Below are 22,982 nucleotides of genomic sequence, written 5' to 3' on the forward strand. Positions count from 1 at the left end.
TTTAGTAGAGACAGAGTTTCACCATGTTGGCCAAGCTGGTCTGGAACTCCTAACCTCAAGTGGTCCACCTGCCTCAGCCTCCCAAAGTGCTGTGATTACAGGCATGAGCCACTGTGCCGGGCCTGAACTGACGTTATTTCTGCAATGCTACTCAGCAAACAAAGTGATAAAGTAGAGCCTTGACACTTACAAATTTAATAGTCATTGGATACCTTGATTAATAAATTAGCTGGGCAAATAATTTTAAATTGGAGATCATTTTCTATTATAATTTTGAAGACATTTCTCCATTATCTTAGAGTTTCCAGCATTGCTGTTGCAATATTGATGCCATTCTAACTTTGAATTCTTTTTTATCTCTCTTTGTAAAAAAAACATAAAATAAAATTGGTAGAGTTCCCTTATTGTCCCTGGTGTCCTGAGATTTCATCATGCTGCACCATTGTGCAGTGAATGAGGTGGACCCTTCAACCAAGAAATTCATGTGCTTCAGTTCTGCATAATTTTTGTAATTATTTTGTTGATGAATTCCTCTCCTCTATTTTATCTGTTTTCTCTTTGTAAAATTCCTATTATTTTGGATTTTAGGTTTCCTGACGTTGTGCTCTAATTTTCTTATCTTTTTTCTCTCATTTTTCATCCTTTTTCTCTTTTTTCCACTTTCTGAGAAATTATTCAGCTTTACATTTCAACCATTCTTTCAGGTTTTCCCAACAACTCTTTGTTTTTGTTTTTACTGATCTTTTTGTTACAATTATTCTATTCTTGCTTCCTGTATGGAATCTCCTATTCTCTGAGGTTTTGTTTTGTTTTTGTTTTTGTTTTCAGATAGAGTCCCTTCTGTTGCCCAGGCTGGAGTACAGTGGCGCGATCTCGGCTCTCTGCAACCTCCACTGCCCGGGTTCAAGCGATTCTCCTGCCTCAGCCTCACAAGTAGCTAGGAATACAGGCACACGCCACCATGCCCAGCTAATTTTTGTGTTTTTAGTAGAGACGCGGTTTCGCCATGTTGGCCAAGCTGGTCTTGAACTCCTGACCTCAGGTAATCTGCCTGCCTCAGCCTCCCAAAATGCTGGGATTACAGGCATGAGCCACCATGACCGGCCTTCTCTGAGGTTTTAAGTGATAGTTTTTGTAAAGTTATCTTATCCCTGAGTTGTTTGGTGTTTTATGTTGTTTACTACATACAAGAAGCTTTGCTCTGATGCCTGATAATTGCAGATTGTCTGTACATACTTAAGAGTGAAGCTTTACAAGTCGATTAAAACCTGGAATATTTTATATTAAATAAAAAAGGAAATCTTGTCACATGCTATACAACAAGGATGCAACTTGAGGACATTATGCTAAGTGAAATAAGCCAGTCACAGAAGGGCAAATATTGTATGAGTCCACTTATGCAAGAGATCTGAAGTGGTCAAACTCATAGAAACAGAAGTGTGGTGGTTTCCAGGGAAGAGGGGGAAATGGGAGTTGTTCAATAAGCATACAGTTTCAGGTTTGCAGGATGAAAATGTTCTGGAGATCTGTCACACAGCAATGTGAATATTCTGAAATACTTACTGAACTCTACACTTAAAAATGGTTAAGATGAAAAATTTCATGTGTTTTTTTACCACAATTAAATTTGTTTACATTTATTAAAAAGTTGATTAGAAGTTTTGAGCACAAAGGTGGGGCTGTTTTGCCATGGGCTCCAGTTCCAAGCGATGAGGACAGCTATTTCCCTAAGGAATCCCTAGCGTTAATGTCATTAGGTCTCTCCTCTTGGAAAGCCATGGGCTGCTGAGATTCCCCAGAGAATGATCATCCGAATTCCTCTCCTATAGGGTATGGGACTGGCTGCTGGCTTTCTGTGAGGTTTGTAGGGAAAGACAGTGATTCAGTGATTTCAGAATTGAGTATACAAATTTTACCTTCTTCCCTGCCTTCAGTATGGGCCCCTGTCCTCAATTGTGCTTGGAATCCTTTCTACGTTACCCCTTCCATGTTACATTTCCTGGGAATATAGCTTCAATCTTCTTCCATGATGATGGAAGAGCAAGCCGTCATACAACTCTGTAGAATCGGGACGCAGGCCTAGGGAGCTTAACTGCTTCTGAAAGAAATCAGACTACTTTCTTTGCACTTACAGAGGTATCCGCTCTAATTAAGCCTTAGGGATTCAACTCAGTGTAAATCAATTTGTTTCTCAACTTTCTCCACTGCTTAGTGAGGATTCAGTCATGTCAGATCTGCTTAATCAATTACCACTTTCCCATCTACTTATCAATTTTCAAAATTTTATTCATTTTCTCTCCCATTCTCTTGTCCTCAAGTGTTTATGCCTTAAAAAAAAAAAAAAAAAAAAAGTTTAGGCCGGGCGCAGGGGCTCATGCCTGTAATCCCAGCACTTTGGGAGGTTGAGGCAGGTGGTTCATTTGAGGTCAGGAGTTTGCGACCAGCCTGGCCAACATGGAGAAACCCTGCCTCTACTAAAAACACAAAAACAATTAGCTGAGCCTGGTGGTACACGCCTATAATCTTAGCTACTTGGGAGGCTGGTGGGAGGCAGGTGGGAGGACCGCTTAAACCTGGGAGGTGAAGGTTGCAGTAAGCCAAGATTGCACCACTGTACTCCAGCCTGGGTGACAGAGCAAGACTCCGTCTCAAAAAAAAAAAAAGTTTAGATTAGAGGGGCTTAGGGTTCGACAAGAGGGTGATAGCTATTGCCTATATTCATCCACCATCTTTACCCAGAAAAGTTGGCTTGTTTTCTATAATTTCAGACTTAATAACTAATTTCTTGGTTGGAGGTGATGTAGTGGAAAGTATCAGAAATTTAGAATCAGTCAACGTGAGCCAGATTCTGGATCTGCCATTTTCTTGTGTGACCACAAGTTAACTAGCTTCTCATATCAGTTTCTCTGTTTATAAAATGAAGATGTTAACACATAGGCTTCTTCTGAGGATAAAGTGAAAAAAACATATGAAAGTCATATGTAAAATAACATATGTAAATCTCATGTAAAACTTAATGCTTGCTTAATAAATACTCTTCTTTCCGTTCCAATATTAGTTGTTCAATTTACCTTCCACTAGCAACTGTAACATTCTGGTAATAACCTCATTCTGGGCTCAGTTTCTACAATATTATTCAAATCACACTAGCCATCCTCTACTGGCTGTACTTGCCACCTTGAGATCTGCTGTCCGATTACGACATTCAGTCTCAATTGGGTGCTGTGTCATTTTGTTGGAATAAGTGCAAATTTTAAATTTTAAAAAAATTCAAAAATGAATGCATTACTTTTGAGTCATTTAATCAAATCTACTTTTACCTTACTATTGATATTTCCAAAATTTCCCTTAAAAAGTAAAATGGACTTTGGTTAGATATCAAGATCTGGACAATTGTGTAGAACTTTAACCATCTGAGCCCAGAGTTTTGTTCATACCCTTGGAGATGCAAAGCAGCTGGTTACTGTCCTCATGTTATTACATTTTCTCCTAACCCACTCAGTGATAACATACCAAACCATCTGCAGCAAAAACATGCCAAGGTTTTACAACAAACTGGGCACTAAGCATTGCTCCATATAGACCATCAAGAAATTCACAAATCAGTGGCTTAAAGACTTTATTAAATTTACAAATATTTCTTGAGTACCTACTATGTTCCACTAATTGTCATAGGTATTTGGGATACACGAGTCAAAGAAACACATTTAAATCAAGAATCCTTGCATTCATAGAGCTTATATTTTAGTGAAAGAGATAGACAATAAACACAATAAGTAAGTTATAAAGTGTGTGTTTTTTAAATAGAGCAGGGAAAGAGGATCAGAACTGCTAGAAGAGGTATTGCAATTAAAATAGACAAGATTTCTTATGTACTCCAGAGATCACCACTAAATCAGTGATAGTTGTTTGGTCACAAGTAACAAACAACTTTAAACAGAACATGAATATATTAGGTAGATATCAGGGGACATACAAAATTGATAGCAATACCAGAGAAACAAGTCGAAAAAAGGTTAGGAATCAGGGTAGCTCCAAAGCAAGTGGAATTAATCAACATTCTCCACACCTACCATCACTGGAACGAATAATCTCCTAGCATCTCGTACCCTTTCTGCATTGCTCCAATCAAGACTGGAAGTTCCAGGAGCATCTGATTAACCAAGCTGGAGTCACTTGCCTGCTTAGTGGGTAGACAATCCCAAAAAGAAAATTTCCAGAGGGAGAGTTAATTCTTCAAAAGGAAATTAGTGTGTGTGCCAAAGTAAGGGAAATGGGTGATGGGCAACCAAAACAGTACATGTTCACTATTGCAAGTGCCAGCTCCAGAAAATCTACATAGAAGGGGTGTAGAGAAGCAATCTGATTGAAAAGAGGCAGTAGGGTACGGTTCTTAATCTGCATTTTGATAGCAATCACACTGTTTTGACTTAGATTGTTTATTTATGTTGGTAGTTTTGAAGAGTTGCTTAAGATTATTGAGCCGGGTGCAGTGGCTCATACCTGTAATCCCAGCACTTTGGGAGGCCAAGGCAGGTGGAAAACTGGAGGTCAGGAGTTCGAGACCAGCCTGGCCAACATGGTGAAACCCCACCTCTAATAAAAATACAAAATTTAGCCGGGCGTGGTGGTGCACGCCTGTAATCCCAGCTGTTCGGGAGGCTGAGGCAGGAGAATCACTTGAACCTGGGAGGCAGAGGTTGCAGTGAGCTGAGATCATGCCATTGCACTCCAGCCTGCGCAACAAGTGAAACTGGGTCTCAAAAAAAGAGATTATTAGCTAGATTAAGCCTCTACAAGCGGTGCCTGGGGCCCTCTACTGATCACAGCCCCAGAGACACCTTCTGACTGCTATTGCAGCTTGACTGAACTTATTCTAGAATCCCCAGTAGGATGAACCAGAAGAGACCACCATGTGGACTTTAGTACACTACAATGTTCTTTTAGTTCACTACAATGGCCTTTAGTAGTGAACAACAAAGCGCATCCTAGACTAAATTAAACAGTCATCAGCCCATTGGACTACTCTTTGTGTATGTTTAATTATCCAGGGAAGAATATTTCACCACTTTTCAAAAGGGGATTTGGAACATATGCTGCTATAGGAACAGTAGCATAGATTTGAATCCCCCCAAATCGTCACATGAAAACAGACAAAACAAATATACAGCAAAACCAAAAGCCACAGACAATAGTTACAACAAAACTAAGTCTTTTCTCTGATCATATTGGCAGTGGTTGTATTAGTATTAGTATTCTGAGATGATTCTGTGTATAATAAAGCAAATTAGTAATGCTAGAATATTCTAATTTTCTCATCCCTCATGTTGTTATCAGTGGAAAGTATCCATACGGGGCTGCAGCAACCTCAATTCTTGGCTTCTCAGAACAAAGAATTCACCTGAGGGACATAAGGCAGAAGGAGAGACTGAGGCAAGTTTTACATCAAGAGTGAAAGTGTATTAAAAAGCTTTAGAACAGGAATGAAAGGAAATAAAATACACTTAGAAGACGGCCAAGTGGGCAACTTGAGAGATCAAGTGCGCAGTTTGACCTTTTGACTTGGTGTTTTATACACTGGCATAGTTCCGGGGTCTTGTGTTACTTCTCCCCTGATTCTTCCCTTGGGGTAGACTCTCTGCATGCTCATGCTTGAACCCACTTGCCCAAATCCTGACATATTATTGGGAAGCGGCTGATCACCAGTTTCAGGTGTTTCCTATCTATTGGAAGACTGCTTTTCCCCGGCACCAGCTATGACCAATTGTTATTTAGACAGTGAACATCAGCCTGATCGTCACCAGATGGTCACCTGACACTCAGGGTGTGGTGGGGGAGGGGAGCCCTCTCCTGCTTGCTTATACCAGACTAGCTACCCACTGTAACAACACCCTTAACAACCATGATTTCCAGGGCTGAAGAAGACATAGATTTAATAGATGAGAATGTTAAGTAAAAATCTTGCATTCCTGAATTTGAATTGGCAGTATCACTATGAACTCATGGGGTTTTCATCTTTAAATATGTATGTATACACTGAACTATGCATTATATATATACACATTATATATATATATTTAAATGTAATATATGTATATGTGCGTATGTATATGAATATATATGTTTAATTTTTTAGCTCTGTCAACTGAAAAGTGCTAGAAACAATGACCAACCCAGTAGCAATGAGCACTCCTAACACATAGTCTGTGTCTTGTAAAATCAACCTAGACTTGATCTATTTGATCATGATAAGCAGTTGCAAATTTTATTTGCTGATATTTTATTTAGTGTATGTGTTCATAATTTTTTTTTCCTTAGACAGGTCTCTGTCATTCAGGCTGGATAAATAAAACTTTATGTTTTATTTACATATGGGTAAGATATTTCCCATAAGGGAAATCAAGATTTCTTGAGGAAATAACTAATTCCAATGTTAGAGCAAGAAATGTACAGATGAATCAGGAAAATTTGTAATGCCAGGTAATAAGCTATCAATGACTGCTGGTATCCTGTCAAAAGAACCTGGAAGACAGCTTGAAGAAGCCCCTGCTAGCAAAAAAGAGAGTGCTTAATAGGCATTGAGTGAGTAAATACGCCAAGTTTTCATATTGATATGGATATGATTCTGGACTTTTTTTCCAAAGGTTTACCTATCTCTATACTAATAATACCTGTTTTGATTTGATATTTAATAGTGTTTTTAAAATACTAACTCTTGATATCTGGTAACAGGACTACTGTACTTGTTCTTCAAAATTTCCTTGGCTCAGGATCCCAAGTTTTATGGAAAAAAAACTCTACTGTTAGTATCTTTTGAATTCCATTGTTTATAAATTAATTTAGGAACAGTTGCCATATGGCACTGGGTAACCTCATTCATAAACTGAGAGTCTTCTCATTTACTTAGATTTTCCTTCGTACTTTTCAATAAAGTTGTATAATTTTAGAAGTAAGTTCTTGCATATCTTATATTAAATTTATTCCTGGGTTCCTTATAATTTTTCTGCCATTATATACAAGATTTCTATTCTAATTACCTTTTCTAATTGCATTTTGTCTCTGAATAAAATGTCATTGACTGTTTTGTAATTATATTGTATCTAGTAACTGATTGAATTTTCTTATTAGTTCCAATTCTCTTGGATTGTCTACATAGACAATCATATCATCTATGAATCACAACCATTTTGTTTCTTGATTTCTAGCCCTTATACCTGTTTTTTTTTGTTATAGCATACAATTGCAAGAGTCTCAGTATGTTTATATAGCACTCATTGTTGTCATATTACATAAATTAATGGCAATGTCTGTGTCATGAATTTTTCCAATGACTTTATGTTTTATTTACATAGGGGTAAGATATTGTATGAAATGTATATATAACCAGATTTAGGGAGAGTTTAAGATGGAATGCTCTAAAATATAAGCAGTCTGTCTTTGTCAAAATGTCAAAACCAAACATCTAGCACTGATATCTGGAAGTGCTTGAATGAACTGGTTGACACATAAGAATAAACTATTTGTAGATCACAGCTTTTCTGACATGAACTGCATTTTATCATTCAGTATAAAAGTTTTCAAATACAGAGTTCTATGGGAAACAAAAGAGAACATTTACCAGTCATTCTAAATAAAACCTCAAAAGACAACATGTCTGCTGAGCAGAGTGCAGTCTGTATTATTTTCAAATGTATCACCACTAAGTATGATCCTTGCTGTGGGTTTGACAGATATGCTTTTTCAGCTTAAGGAAGAGTTCCTGGTTTGCAGTTACATTTAGTGTAAAGTTAATATCTTTTATTCCTGAAGTAAAATCAACCTAGGTATGATCTATTTGATCATGATAGGCAGTTGCAAATTTTATTTGCTGATATTTTATTTAGTATATGTGTTCATAATTTTTTTTTTCTGAGACAGGTCTCTCTCTGTCATTCAGGCTGGAGTGCAGTGGCACCATCATGGTTCACTGCAGACTAGACCTCCTGGGCTCAAGTGATCCTCCCTCCTCAGCCCCCCAAGTAGCTGGGACTACAGACGCACACTACCACACCTGGCTAGATATTTTTTATTATTTTTAGTAGAAATGAGGTCTCACTATGTTACCCAGGCTAATCTCGAAGTCCTGAGCTGAAGCAATCCTCCCACCTTAGCCCCTCAAAGTGCTGGGATTACAGGCATGAGCCACCATGCCCAGCTCATAATTTTTTTATATAGTTATTGTACATTTTGGTTTTTTACCAAAATTATATAGGTATCATAAAATGAGTTTGGGAATAGAAAATTCCTTTTTATTTATTACAGTAATCTGTATCCAGTCAGCCCTCCATATCCAGGGATTATGCAAACACAGATTCAAGCAACTTCTAAGAGAAAATATTTGAAAAATAATTTGGCAATAAAAATAACACAAATTTTTAAACAATGCAGTATAACAACTGTTTGCATAGCATTTACATTGAATTAGCTAATATCCGTAATGTAGAGATGATTTAATGTATACGGGAGGATGTGCATAGGTTATATGCAAATACTATGCCATTTTACGAAAGAGACTTGAGTATTTGTGGATTTTGGTATCCTTGAGGGTCCTGGAACCAATCGCCTGCAGATACTGAGTGACAACTATATAGTTAATCTGTTTCTTGCCGGTTGTTGGAATTCACCCTTAAATCTTCTGGGCTTTTTCATGTGAGATGATTTTACTTTATTCATTGTTGTTAATGAATCCTGGTCTGTTCCAGTATGCTATTTCTTCTTTAATCCAATTTGAAACCTTTTTTTAAGAAAATTATTCCTTTAACATAAGGTTTAAAATGCATTGGTGGAAAGTTGTTCATGATAATCTCTTGTACTTGCTTAAATCTCTCCAGCATCAGTAGTTATGGCTCCCCTTTCCCACACACAATATTGTTTTGTTCTCCATTCTCACTTCTTAGTAACATGAGCCACTTCATAGTTCTTAGCGAAGTTATGGGAGAATTAAATTATTTGAATCTTTCTCTGAAAATGTCTTTATTTCACCCTCTCTCTTCAATGAAAGTTTAGCTTCAAATAGAATTCTAGGTAGGTAGCTCAGCACTTCAAATATATTGTTTCACTGTCTTTTGGCCTCTATTTCTGCTGATGTGAAATGTGTTGTCAATCTACCCATTGTTTTTTTGTAAGTAATCTTTTTTTTTCAGGTTGCTTTGTGGATTTTTCACTTTGTCTTTTGCAATGTGCAATTTTACAATGATGTGTCTAGATGAAAGAGAGAAATTCAAAAATAGGGAAAATGGAGGAGCTGTGTTCAACTAAAACAATGGCAGGAAAAATTCCAAAACTGGTAAAAGATGTGTCTCCTTAGATTGGAGAAATGTAACAACATCCCAAACAGAATAATTACAAATACATCTATTACATGGAATATCCAAAAATATGTATCCAAAAATATATATTCTGTAAACAGAAATAACAAGAGAATTTAGCAAAGTCACTAGATGCAAGATCAATATTTAAAAATCAATTGTCTATCTTTATGAGCAATAAACTTTTTAAAAATATCATTTATAGGTCAGGCGAGGTGGCATATCTTTATCAGCAATAAATTTTTTAAAAATATAACTTATAGGCCAGGTGAGGTGGTTCACACCTGTAATCCCAGCACGTTGGGAGGCCAAGACAGAAGGATCACTTGAGTGCAGGAGTTCAAGACCAGCCTGGGCAACAAAGTGAGACTCTGTCTCTACAAAAAAAATAAAAAATTAGCTGGGTGTGGTGGCACATACCTGTGGTTCCAGCTACACAGAAGGCCGAGGCAGGAAAATTGCTTGAGCCCAGGAGGTCAAGGCTGCAGTGAGCCATGTTTGCACCACTGCACTCCATCCTGGGTGACAAAACAAGACCCTGTCTCAGGAAAAAAAAAAACTGGCAGTATTAAGTATTGGTGAGGATGTGAATAACTGGTACTCTCATATGCTGCTGATGAGAGTGTAAATTTGTACAATCAATTGTAAAACTATTGACAGTATTTAATAAAGCTAAACACACCCCTTCCCTATGGCCCAATAGTTCCTCTCATAGGATATATCCACAAGAAATGAGTGTATATGTGCACCAAAAGTCATGTACAAGCATGCTCATAGCAGCTTTATTCATAATAGCAAATATAGGACATAACTTAAATATCCATGAACAATAGAATATATAAATAAATTATGATATATTCTTACAATGGAATACTACTCAGCTTGAAAAATAATAAACTACAGCTACAAACAACATGAATAATTCTGACAGACAAAATGTTGAAAGAGGACAAACACAATGGATTATATGTGTATGATTCCACTTTTTTTATTTCAATAGTTTGGGGGAACAAAACTATTTGCTTTGCTTTTTGGTTACATGGATAAGGTTTGTTTTGTTCTTTGAGATGGAGTTTTGCTCTTGTTGCCCAGGCTGGAGTGCAATGGCACAATCTCGGCTCACCGCAACCTCCACCTCCCGGGTTCAAGCAATTATCCTGCCTCAGCCTCCCAAGTAGCTGGGATTACAGGCATGCGCCACCACCCCCAGCTAATTTTTTTTTTTTTTTTTTTTTAGTAGAGATGGGGTTTCTCCATGTTGGTCAGACTGGTCTCGAACTCCCGACCTCAGGTGATCTGCCCACCTTGGCCTCCCAAAGTGCTGGGATTACAGGTGTGAGCCCACGCCTGGCCATACATGGATAAGTTCTTTAGCAGTCATTACTGAGATTTTGGTGCACTCATCACCTGAGCAGTGTACACTGTAGCCAGTGTGTAGTCTTTTATCTCTTGCACCCTGCTCCCCTTCCCCCCGCATCCCCAAAGTCCATTGTATCATTCTTATGCCTTCGTGTCTTCATAGCTTAGCTCCTACTTATAAATGAGAACATATGATATTTGGTTTTCCATTCCTGAGTTACTTCACTCACAGTAATGGTCTCCAACTCCACCCAGGTTGCTGTGAATGCCATTATTTCATTCCTTTTTATGGCTAAGTAGTATTCCATGGTGTATACATATATATATGCGTATATATATATGTGTGTGTGTGTGTGTATATATATATATATATATATATATGATTCCACTTTTTGAAGTTCAAAAACTTGTAAAAGTGATCTATGAAGTTGGAAACTTGAATAATGATTACCTATAGGACAATGATTGCAAGAGAGGCTTCTGCGGTGATGGTGATGTCCCATATCTTATTCTAGCGGTAAACAGGTGTGATGGTTAATATTGTGTCAACTTGATTGGATTAAAGGATGCAAAGTATTGTTTCTGTGTGTATCTGGGTCTTTCTGGGTGTTGCCAGAAGAGATTAACATTTGAGTCAGTGGACTGTGAGAGAAAGACCCACCCTCAGGAAGACCCACCCACAATGTGAGTAGGCACCATCCAATCGGCTGCCAGTGTGGCTAGGAAAAGCAGGCAGAAGAAGGTGGAAGAAGCTGACTTGCTGAGTCTTCTGGCCTTCATCTTTCTCCCGTGCTGCATACTCCCTGCCCTCGAACATCAGACTCCAAGTTCTTCAGCTTTCAAACTCTTGGACTTACACCTGTGGTTTGCCAGGGGCTCTCAGGCCTCCAGCCACAGACTGAAGGCTACGCTGTTGGCTTCCCTACTTTTGAGGTTTTGGGACTTGGACTGAGCCACTACTGGCTTCTTTGCTCCTCAGCTTGCAGATGGCCTATCATGGGACCTTACCTTGTGATCGTGTAAGTCATTATATATGAAGAGGAGTTTATGTATATATATTTAAATACATATATCCTATTAGTTCTGTCCCTCTAGAGAACCCTGACTAATACAACAGGTATTTTTTTTTTAATTTGATTGAACACACATAAGATTAGTGTACTACTAAGTTATACCTCAATTTTTTTTTAATTTACACAATGACATATATCCACACGTAGTCATATTGTATTTCAATTTATTTTTTCTTTGAGATAGTGTCTCGCTCTGTGGCCCAGACTAGAGGGCAGTGGCACCATCTCAGCTCACTGCAACCTCCGCCTCTCGGGTTCAAGCGATTCTCGTGCCTCAGACTCTTGAGTACCTGGGATTACAGGTGCGTGCCACCACGCTCAGCTAATTTTTGTATTTTTAGTAGAGGTGGGGTTTCTCCATGTTGCCCAGGCTGGTGTCAAACTCCTGACCTCAGGTGATTTGCCTGCCTCAGCCTCCCAAAGTGCTGGGATTACAGGTGTGAGCCACGGCGCCTGGCCTGTATTTCAATTTCTATTCTTTTAGCATTAACTTTAAATTTTTAACATGCATACTTAGCCAAATATCTGAAGTTAGTCAGTATTTCTATAATATTCCTGAATGATTTAAAAAAATTAGGACACTTTAATTTCAATCATTCCCTCCCATCTTCCATTTATCATTTTTCAGTATTTTAGCTTCACCCTATTTTTTTTAAGTACCACCATCTACATTCCCTCAAAAAATCAATCTTTTTTTATTGTGGAGTTCTTTGATCATCAGTTTATTTAGATTTAACCAGGTTTACAATTTATTTGTTTTCCTTGCACCTTATATCTCACTCCTTCCTTCTGAGCTTATTTGCATTTTTAGTGAAATATATCATGTGTCATTTGTGTTTGTGCAAACTTGTTTTCACATTATTTCTGTAAAACACACTGGAAATTTCACTTAGCTGAAGTCAGCTTTTATTTTTAGTTTTTTGGATAAGTGGTTCTTACACTAGGTGAATAGTGCACATTCGGATTTCACATCCACACAGGGGTTTTCTTTTTTTTCTTTTTGTGAGACAGAATCTCACTCTGTTGCCCAGGCTGGAGTACAGTTGGTGAGATCTTGGCTCACTGCAACCTATGCCTCCCAGGTTCAAGCAATTCTTGTGTCTCAGTCTCCTGAGTAGCTGGGATTACACGTGTGCACCACCAAACCCAGCTAATTTTTGTATTTTTAGTAGAGATGGGGTTTACCATACTGGCCAGGTTGGTCTCGAACTCCTGGCCTCAAGCAATCCATCAGCCTCAAGCAATCCACCCTCCTCAGCCTCCCAAATGCTGGGATTACAGGCATGCACCACCACATCCAGCCAGGGAGTTTATTTTCTAATAGGGATTTTTTTTTCCATTTAGGCAAAAGAAAACATTCTTGTGATTTATCTCAGCTAGTTGGTACAATTCTAGTATCCATTCTGTTATGGAGAGGGAAGACTTCCTGGATCTTAAGCTTTGTAGAAGTCTTGGTTCCAGCAGACTCCACTTTGCCTCCATCTCTTGCCTTTATACGGAGGTTAAAACCCAACCTCTGACAATTAGGATTCATGTCTGCATCAGATATAGAGCTCCAGATGGTGATGCCATTCCCCTAAAAACTTATACTTGAGGCTTTCAGTCTCTCCTTATTTCTGGTTGTTTTAAAATATTTTTTCCAGTATATTAAAGTTTTTGTAGCAGATGGGTAATCTCGTTAGCTCAATTTACTATTTTCTAATCCCAGAAATCCTCTCTAGGTTTTTTCCAGATATGATACTTGTATTATTTTAAGTTTTTTAACAAAAATAAATACATAATTTTTAATAAAACAGAAAAATCCAATTCAAACTAACTAAATCTACAAAGGAAGCTTGCTTCAAGTAACTGAAAAGTCCAGAAATAATGTGAACTGATATAGTTCAAGCGCTGCCTCACCCTGTTTCTCTGTAATTTTCCCATCATGTGCTGGCTTTGTCCTCCAGTTAACTTTTCTCACGGAGGCAAGATCATTTGCAGCAGCAATATAAGGCCATATGCATTCTTGTTCCCTCTTGGAGACAGAGAAGTTCCACAATCATTGATCAAAAGTGTTGAGCTACTTGGTATTTGGACCACCTCAGAACCAGTCCTTGCGGTTGGAGAAACACAAGCAATAATTGGCTAAAGCCTGGGTCACCTGAACCAATCGTTGGGGCAGATGACATAGAACCTCTATTACCCCATTGGCTTAGGTCCCACTTCTGGGGCTCACCTAAACCATATGGCAGCTACACAAGAGAAGAAGTGTCCAATGAATGTTAGACAACCATAATATCTACTTTACTCTATTTAAGTTACATATCCCCCCGGCCGGGCGCGGTGGCTCACGCCTGTAATCTCAGCACTTTGGGAGGCGGAGGTGGGCGGATCACAAAGTCAGGAGATCAAGACCATCCTGGCTAACACGGTGAAACCCCGTCTCTACTAAAAAATACAAAAAAAATTAGCCGGGCGTGGTGGCGGGCGCCTGTAGTCCCAGCTACTTGGGAGGCTGAGGCAGGAGAATGGCGTGAACCCGGGAGGCAGAGCTTGCAGTGAGCCGAGATGGCGCCGCTGCACTCCAGCCTGGGCAAGAGCGAGACTGTCTCAAAAAAAAAAAGTTACATAACCCCCAACCTTTACCTATGCAAGTTGCTGTTTGAACCCAAGGATAGAACTTTACGTTTCTGCTAAATTTAGAGTTAGCTTTGCACAGTTCCACAACAGAGTTGAAGATTATCACTTGCTTTGTTTTTGTATATCGGTTCCTATTCCTCATTTTCTACTTTATATAAAGAATTAAATTTCCATCTAGTTTTTTTATTACTATGTCAAGCACAAAAGACCCAATCAAATACTTATCAAATATGCAGTTATATTTGAAATCACCTAGATATAAAAAGTAAGCTGTGTGATAGTGTCATCAAGTGTGTTTAAAGAGAACCTGGGGAGCACATCCAAAACACAAACTATCACTCTTAAAAAACAGCAGAAACTGAAGCATAAGATACTAAGTTGATTAATAGCTTAAAAAAATACCTCATATATATCAGGATTCTTGGAACAGAGAAAATAAACTATGGTTTCATACATGAGCCACAAATTAGAAATCCTAAAGTTAAGCAGTATAAATAATACATGCATTGGATGGCAATAGGGCTGCTTGTTACATGGACAACTGTATGTATTGTGCTGCAAGATGAGTAACAGCAGAGATTTATTTATTTATTTCATGGTGATTAAAGATGTTCCCTAGCTGAGATGAGTTTACCAGCTAGTAAGAAAAATTTAAGATGAGCATTTTGCACTGCTGCACTTTTTCTAAAACGTAGTTTTTTATTACTCTAATCTTCCATAATCTATAGTGATGCAGATGGCTGTCTAATATTTTGTTCACAGAGTATAAATCAGACATCAGTATTTACCCTTAAGAGACAAATGTTTTATTTTGCTATGTGAAGTGTTTTATAAATTTCACTGAAAGTGATACCCCAATGTAAATTGCTATTAAATGATATTATCATTAATAATATCATTTAGCCGGGCGTGGTGGCAGGCGCCTGTAGTCCCAGCTACTCGGGAGCCTGAGGCAGGAGAATGGCGTGAACCCAGGAGGCAGAGCTTGCAGTGAGCCGAGATATTATTAATAATATCATTAAATGATATTATCATTTAATATCTATCAAAATTAATATAAATGTAGAAGCTACATACTGGCATTTTATTATAGTCAATATTTATATTCTTTGAAGACAGCTATTTCTGGCTAAAATAATATGTAAAATAGTCCATAATTTGAGACATCAACATAGAGAAAAATGAATTGATTGAAATGAATCAAAATAGCTTTATAGAATATAAAGATGTCTGTGTATGTGAGGGGTGTGTGTGTGTGTGTGTGTGTGTGTGTGTGTGTGTCCAGGAATCAATTTCTATGTCAGTAACTACATTATCTACACAAGCCAACTTCTCTTATGTCTTCATGATATTGGGTCAATAACGGCTTCTCACCTTGTGAGATTTGGGCAATAGAGTCCCTTTCAGGCAAAATTCCACTAGTGAGTTTGCCTTATAGGAAATCAATAAGTTCCTTCCTACGTATTTTCTCTTCCATAGCAACAGGAATAAGAGACAAAATAGGCCTACTTAATGTGCAAAATATGTGCCATGCTTCTAAGTGCTGCTAACTCCAAAAGAGAAGCCGTTTTTGTTTCAGTACTATTAAGTCTTCTAACATTTTCTTGCCCTACTCTATATGGCAGGTTATATTCTTCATATAATTGCCAATTATCCAGGGTGAATATAAACATAACTCAATTGTTTAGCATAAAGATAAAGAGCAAATACAAATACCTCTGACAGCCTAACTCTGTCACTGACCAGTCACTTAATTTTATGAGCTTCAGCATATTCATTTAAGTGTATTAGGTATATACATAAGATGAAAGCAATAATAATAATACCTTTCTGCCAGGTTCAGTATTGCAAACTGACCTAAGCCAAACTGTCTATTTAGCAATTATCGGGGGTTTTTTGGTAAATGTTGAAAGCCTCCTTGATAGATTCACAATCAGAAGTAGGTGGGGGCATCTTCCACTACCCCACAATTTCCTTCCTGGTGGCATATTATAATGAAAACAAGTCTTAGACAAAATTATACCAAAATGCACCAATAATTACTAGCAAGCAAACAGACAAAAAAGCCACATAGTTTATTCTTGTAAGTTTGAGAAAGGCCTTGTCTCTGTGTTCAAGCCCTCCAAAAATCACCTTGCATGAAAGGCTCTTCATACATAGGGCCTCATTATAAGTACCTGGTCATCCTAAAGAGTGGCCAGAGAGGCCCCTGTGGAAGATACCAATGAATATGCTCTTTCATTTATCCACTCACTTACATAGATCATGGAAGAGACTTTAAACATGAGACCAAAAATTTAAGTCCAAAATTACAAAATGAGAGGATTTACTTTGTCATTCACATACACTCTGCCATAGTCTAGAAAGAGTCAAAATTTTAGTTTCAGAAAACTACAAGAATGGAACAGATTTTCATAGCTGAGCCCAGAACTACAAAAAGATACCATATTGTACATAAAATTCTAACTTCTGTTGAAATGGTTAGCATGTTTGCAAATATCTTGATGTATGATGTGTCAGATAATATGACTTGTTTTTCTGATCACCATAAATACTGAGCATAGAAAAATATACACAAAAAAACATATATAGCATTAGGAAAAACTGGGAGGGTTGCTTTTGGTTATAACTTCTAGACTGGCAGTCTTACTTGTCACATTCAATTTGTAATCAGACTTCAATGGCTTAAGCAACCAAATCTATCCTTCCATTTGGCCCCAACCCCAATAAGAAAGAGACCCACATCTAAATTTTAAAAAGATAAGAATATTCAGCACCCTCTAGAAAACACTGGAACTTACTGGATAGAGTCAGTTGTTTGAATGGCAAGATAGCTGAGTGTTCTAAAATTCAAGAAACAATTGACTCACTGCCCTCCATACTGTGATGAAACATGTAGTAGTTACCTTTCAGGCATTGGGCCAAAATGAAAACTGTCCAGAAGAATTCCTTTTGTTACTGAGCTATGCCATAACATCTCAAGAAGAATCATTGAACACAGAATTGAACAACTTTATATCCCTTTACTTAACCCAAACCTACTCCCTGAATTATCCTCAAGTATAATGAAATGAGTAAATGAGATGTTACATGTAAAATACTCAGCACAATGTTTAGTACCCACACAAAAAAACTACCCACAGCAGGAGTGAAGTGGACTAAGCCTAGCAGGAAACTTTTATGATGGCTATTCATCCCTGGAACCCAACTGAGCTCAGGAGAGGCAACAGAGTCCTCTATAAACCACAAGGACATAGGACCAAACCAAGCACTAGACCACAAAGTGAAGTCACTTGGGATAATGGATGCACTGGGTGCCAGTTAGCTTTTATCACAATGTTGAAAAAGTTTGGTTATAAAGATTATAAATCATAGATCTTAAAATGCAAATGAAGAAGAATAGCTTTACAGTGGATTACAGAATGGGTACATAAAAAATCCCCTTCTGTTTCTTCAGTAGATGGCAAGTCTGGGCTCTATTTTCCCATATTCTAAGTGAAAGTCTCTGAAAACCATGGACCTACTGAAAGAGCTCCCAATGAGGCAGTGAGCAAATATTTTATTTGGCATTACCATAAGCTTAAAACCATGCTAAGGGTGATTTAATAGCAAAATACATATGACTTTTTTTCTGCTTTCAAAGAGTTTATAAATAAAATGAGGAGGCAAGGAAAACACAAGTGAAGTAATAGTAAAAAAACTAATATTGTATATATAAACATATATATAATAAGTTTTGTACAAAAACCATAAATGCCTTAGAAGATCATGAAGAAAGAAACCAAAGAGGACAGAGTTCCATGAGAAGTCTCAGTTAAGAGGCAAGATTTCAGCATGAACCTTAAATAATGAGTAGGATTTTTATGGATCAAAGAAAAGACATTCCCAGTGAGAGAGCTGGCACAGAAGTTTGACTAAATATACAAAGACTACCCTATCACAACAGAGGTTAAATGCAAGGAAGAAGTGAGGGCTGAAATTAGAAAGAAGGGACTCCAAATATAAAAGGCCTTAAAAACACTAAAATAAATATGAATTTGTGTGGGAAGAAGTAGGAAGCCATTGAAGATGTCTAGCAGGAGCCAATTTAGTTGTGAGGCACAATATTAATGGGTATATGGTAAATTGAAAAATAGCCCACCAAAGAAATCTACATCCTAATCTCCAGAACCTGTGAATATGTTGTAACTTACACAGCAAGAGAGACTGCATATGTGATTATGTTAAGGATTTTGAGATGTGGAGATTATTCTGGATTATCCAGGTGGGCCCTATGTAATCACAGGAGTCCTTGTAAGAGGGAAGAAAGAGGGTCAGAGTGATATGGAGCCATGCCTCCAGAAAGGCTGGCAGCCTCTAAGCTAGGAATGGTAAAGTATGATTTCTCCTCTCAAGTCTCTAGAAGGACCAGCCCTGTCAATACCTTGATTTTAGCCTGTAAGACACATTTTAAACTTCCGCCCTCAGAACTATAATACATCTGTGTTATCTTAAGCCACTACATTGGTGGTAATTTATCAAAGAAATAGGAAATTAATATAGGGCAGATGTGGTGAAAATCTGAACTCAAGAAGGTTAATCACCAAATGAACCTAACAGACATCCACAGAACTCTCCACTCAAAAACAACAGAATATACATTCTTCTCATCTGCATATGGCACATACTCTAAAATTGACTACACAATCAGCCGTAAAACAATACTCAGCAAATTTTTAAAAACCAAAATCATACCAACCACATTCTCAGACCACAGTGCAATAAAAATAGAAATCAATAGGAAGAAGATTACTCAAAACCATATGATTACATCAAAATTACACAACCTGCTTCTGAATGACCTCTGGGTAAATGATGAAATTAAGGCACAAACCAGCAAATTATTCGAAACTAATGAGAACAAAGATACAATATACCAGAATCTCTGGGACACAGCTAAAGCAGTATTAAGAAGAAAAATTATAACACTAAACACCCACATCAAAAAGTTAAAAAGATCTCAAATTAACAAACTAACATCACACGTCGAGGAACTAGAAAAATAAAAGCAAATCAAGCCCAAAGCTAGCAGAAGACAAGAAATAACCAAAATCAGAGCTGAACTGAATGAAACTGAGTCATGAAAAACCATTCAAAAGATTAATAAAACAGAAGTTGTTTTTTGAAAGAATAAATAAGACAGATGGCTAGCCAGACTAATAAAGAAAAAGAGAAAGAAAATCCAAATAAACACAATCGGAAATGACAAAGGAGACATTACCACTAACCCCACAGAAATACAAAAAACCATCAGAGAATATTACGAACACCTCTATGCACACAAACTAGAAAACCTAGAAAAAAATGGATAAATTCCTGGAAACACAATCTTCCAAGACTGAACAAGGAAGAAATTCAAACCCTGAACAGACCAATAACAAGTTTAGAAATTGAATAAATAATAGAAATCCTACCAACCAGAAAAAAGCCCAGGACCAGACAGATTCACAGCCAAATTCTATTAGATGTACAAAAAAGAGCTAATATAATTTCTACTGAAACTATTCTAAAAAATTGAGGAGGAGGGACTCCTCTCCAACTCATTCAATGAGGCCAGCATCATTCTGATATCAAAACCTGGCAGAGAAAGACAAAAAAAACAAAACTTCAGGCCAATAGCCTTGATAAACATAGATACAAAAATCCTCAACAAAATACTTGCAAACCAAATCCAGCAACACATCAAAAAGCTAATTCACTGTGATTAAATAGGCTTTATCCCTGGAATACAAGGTTGATTCAACATATGCAAATCAATAAATGTGATTCATCACATAACAGAATTAAAAACAAAAACCACACAATCATCACAATAGATGCAGAAAAGGCTTTTGATAAAATTTAGCATCCCTTCATATTAAAAATCCTCAAAAAACTAGGCATTGAAAGAACATACCTCAAAATAATAAAAGCCATTTATGACAGACCCACAACCAACATCATACTGAACAGGCAAAAGCTGAAAGCATTCCCCTTGAGAACTAGAGCAAGACAAGGATACCCACTTTCACTACTCCTATTCAACATAGTACTGGAAGTCCTAGCCAGAGTAATCAGTCAAGAGAAAGAAATAAAAGGCATCCAAATAGGAAGTCAGGAAGTCAAATTATCTCTGTTTGCAGACTATCTGACTTTATACCTAGAAAACCCCACACATAGTCTCTGCTCAAAAGCTCCTAGATTTGACAAACAACTTCAGCAAAGTCTCAAGATACAAAATCAATGTACAAAAATCAAGATCATTTCTGTACACTAATACTCTCCAAGCTGAGTGCCAAATCAAGAATTCAATCTCATTCACAATAGCCACAAAAAATTAAAATAAAATACCTAGGAACACAGCTAACCAGGGAGGTGAAAGAACTCTACAACAACTCTACAAAGCACTGCTCAAAGATATCAGAAATAACACAAATGAATGGAAAAACTTTCCATGTTAATGGATAGTAAGAATCAACATTATTAAATTGGCCACACTGCCCAAAGCAATTTATAGATTCAGTGCTATTCCTATCAAACTACCAATGACATTTTTCACAGAATTGGAAAAAAAAATTTTAATTCATATGGAATCAAAAAAAGAGCCTGAATAGCCAAGGCAATCCTAACCAAACAGAACAAAGCTGAAGGTATCACATTATCATAATTCAAACTATGCTGCAAGGCTACAATAACCAAAACAGCATGGTACTGGTACAAAAACAGACACATAGACCAATGGAACAGGATAAAAAGCCCAGAAATAAAGCTGTGCACCTACGACCATCTGATCTTTGACAGAGTCAACCATAAATGGAACTCTCTATTCAATATATAGTGCTGGGATAACTGGCTAGCCATAGGCAGAAGGTTGAAACTGAACTCCTTCCTTACACCATATACAAAAATCAACTCAAGATGGATTAAAGACTTAAATGTAAAACCTAAAACTATAAAAACCCTTGAAGAAAACCTAGTAAATATAGTTCTAGACATAGGACCTGGCAAAGATTTTATGATGAAGACACCAAAAGCAATTGCAACAAACACAAAAACTGACAAATGAAACCTATTTAAACTAAAGAGCTTCTTCACAGCAAAAGAAACTATCAACAGAGCAAATAGACAACCTACAGAATGGGAGAAAGTATTCACAAACTATGCATCTGACAAAGGTGTAATATCCGGAATTTATAAGAAAAACAAATTAACAAGCAGAAAATAGCCCCATTAAAACATGGGCAAAGGACATGAACAGATACTTTTCAAGAGAAGACATATACATATGTCTTGTGGGCAACAAGCATATGAAAAGAAGATCATCATCACTGATCACTAGTGAAATGCAAATCAAAACCACAATGGGATACCTCTCACACAGTCAGAATGGCTAGTATTAAAAGGTCAAAAGCCGGGCACAGTGGCTCACACCTGTAATCCCAACACTTTGGGAGGCCAAGGTGGGTGGATCACCTGAAGTCAGGGGTTTGAGACCAGCCTGACCAACATGGTGAAACCCTGTCTCTACTAAAAATACAAAAATTAGCCAGGCATGGTGGCACACGCCTGTAATCCCAGCTACTCAGGAGGCTGAGGCAGGAGGATCACTTGAATCCAGGAGGGGGAGGTTGCAGTGAGCAGGGATTGTGCCACTGCACTCCAACCTGGGCAACAGAGCAAGATTCTGTCTTAAAAAAAAAAAAAAAGTCAAAAAACAACAGATGCTGGCAAGGCTATGGAGAAAAGGGACTGCTTATACACTGCTGGAGGGAATGTAAATTAGTTCAGCCATTATGGAAAACAGTTTGGCGGTTTCTCAAAGAACTTCAAACAGAACTACCATTCAACCCAGCAATCTCATTATTTAGTATACACCGAGAGGAATATAAATCGTTCTACCATAAAGACATATGCATATGTATGTTCATCACAGCACTATTCACAATAGCAAAGACATGGAATCAACCTAACTGCCCATCAGTGTTAGACTGGATCAAGAAAATATAGTATATATACATGAGAAAATACTACATAGCCATAAAAAAAAAAAACACACACGAGATAATGTCCTTTGCAGCAGCATAGATGGAGCTGAAGGCCATTATCTTAAGCGAACTAATGTGGAAACAGAAAACCAAACATCCTATGTTCTCACTTATAAGTGAGAGCTAAACATTGATACACATGGACACAAAGAAGGGAACAATAGACACCAGGGCCCACTTGAGGGTGGAAGCTGAGAGGAGGGTGAGGACCGAAAAACAGCCTATCAAGTACTATGCTTATTACCCGGCTCACAAAACACACCAAACCCCCACAACACACAATTTCTCTATAGAACAAACCTGTATATGTGTCCTTAAAACTAAAATAAATATGTGGTTTTTTTTTAAGAAAAGAACGTCTGTCACAGGGGTTTTTATTCTAGGCAACATAGAAAGGATCCACTAGCCAATAATTCTTATAATCTTATCCCATAGAACATACACATAGTTATTTGTGCCTTCTCTCTCTAAGACTACATTAATGATTTAACCCAACAATCCTATTTCCAGAAGAAAGCTAT

Source organism: Homo sapiens, chromosome 2 (assembly GCF_000001405.40).
Source record: "Homo sapiens chromosome 2, GRCh38.p14 Primary Assembly".
Lineage (NCBI taxonomy): Eukaryota > Metazoa > Chordata > Mammalia > Primates > Hominidae > Homo > Homo sapiens.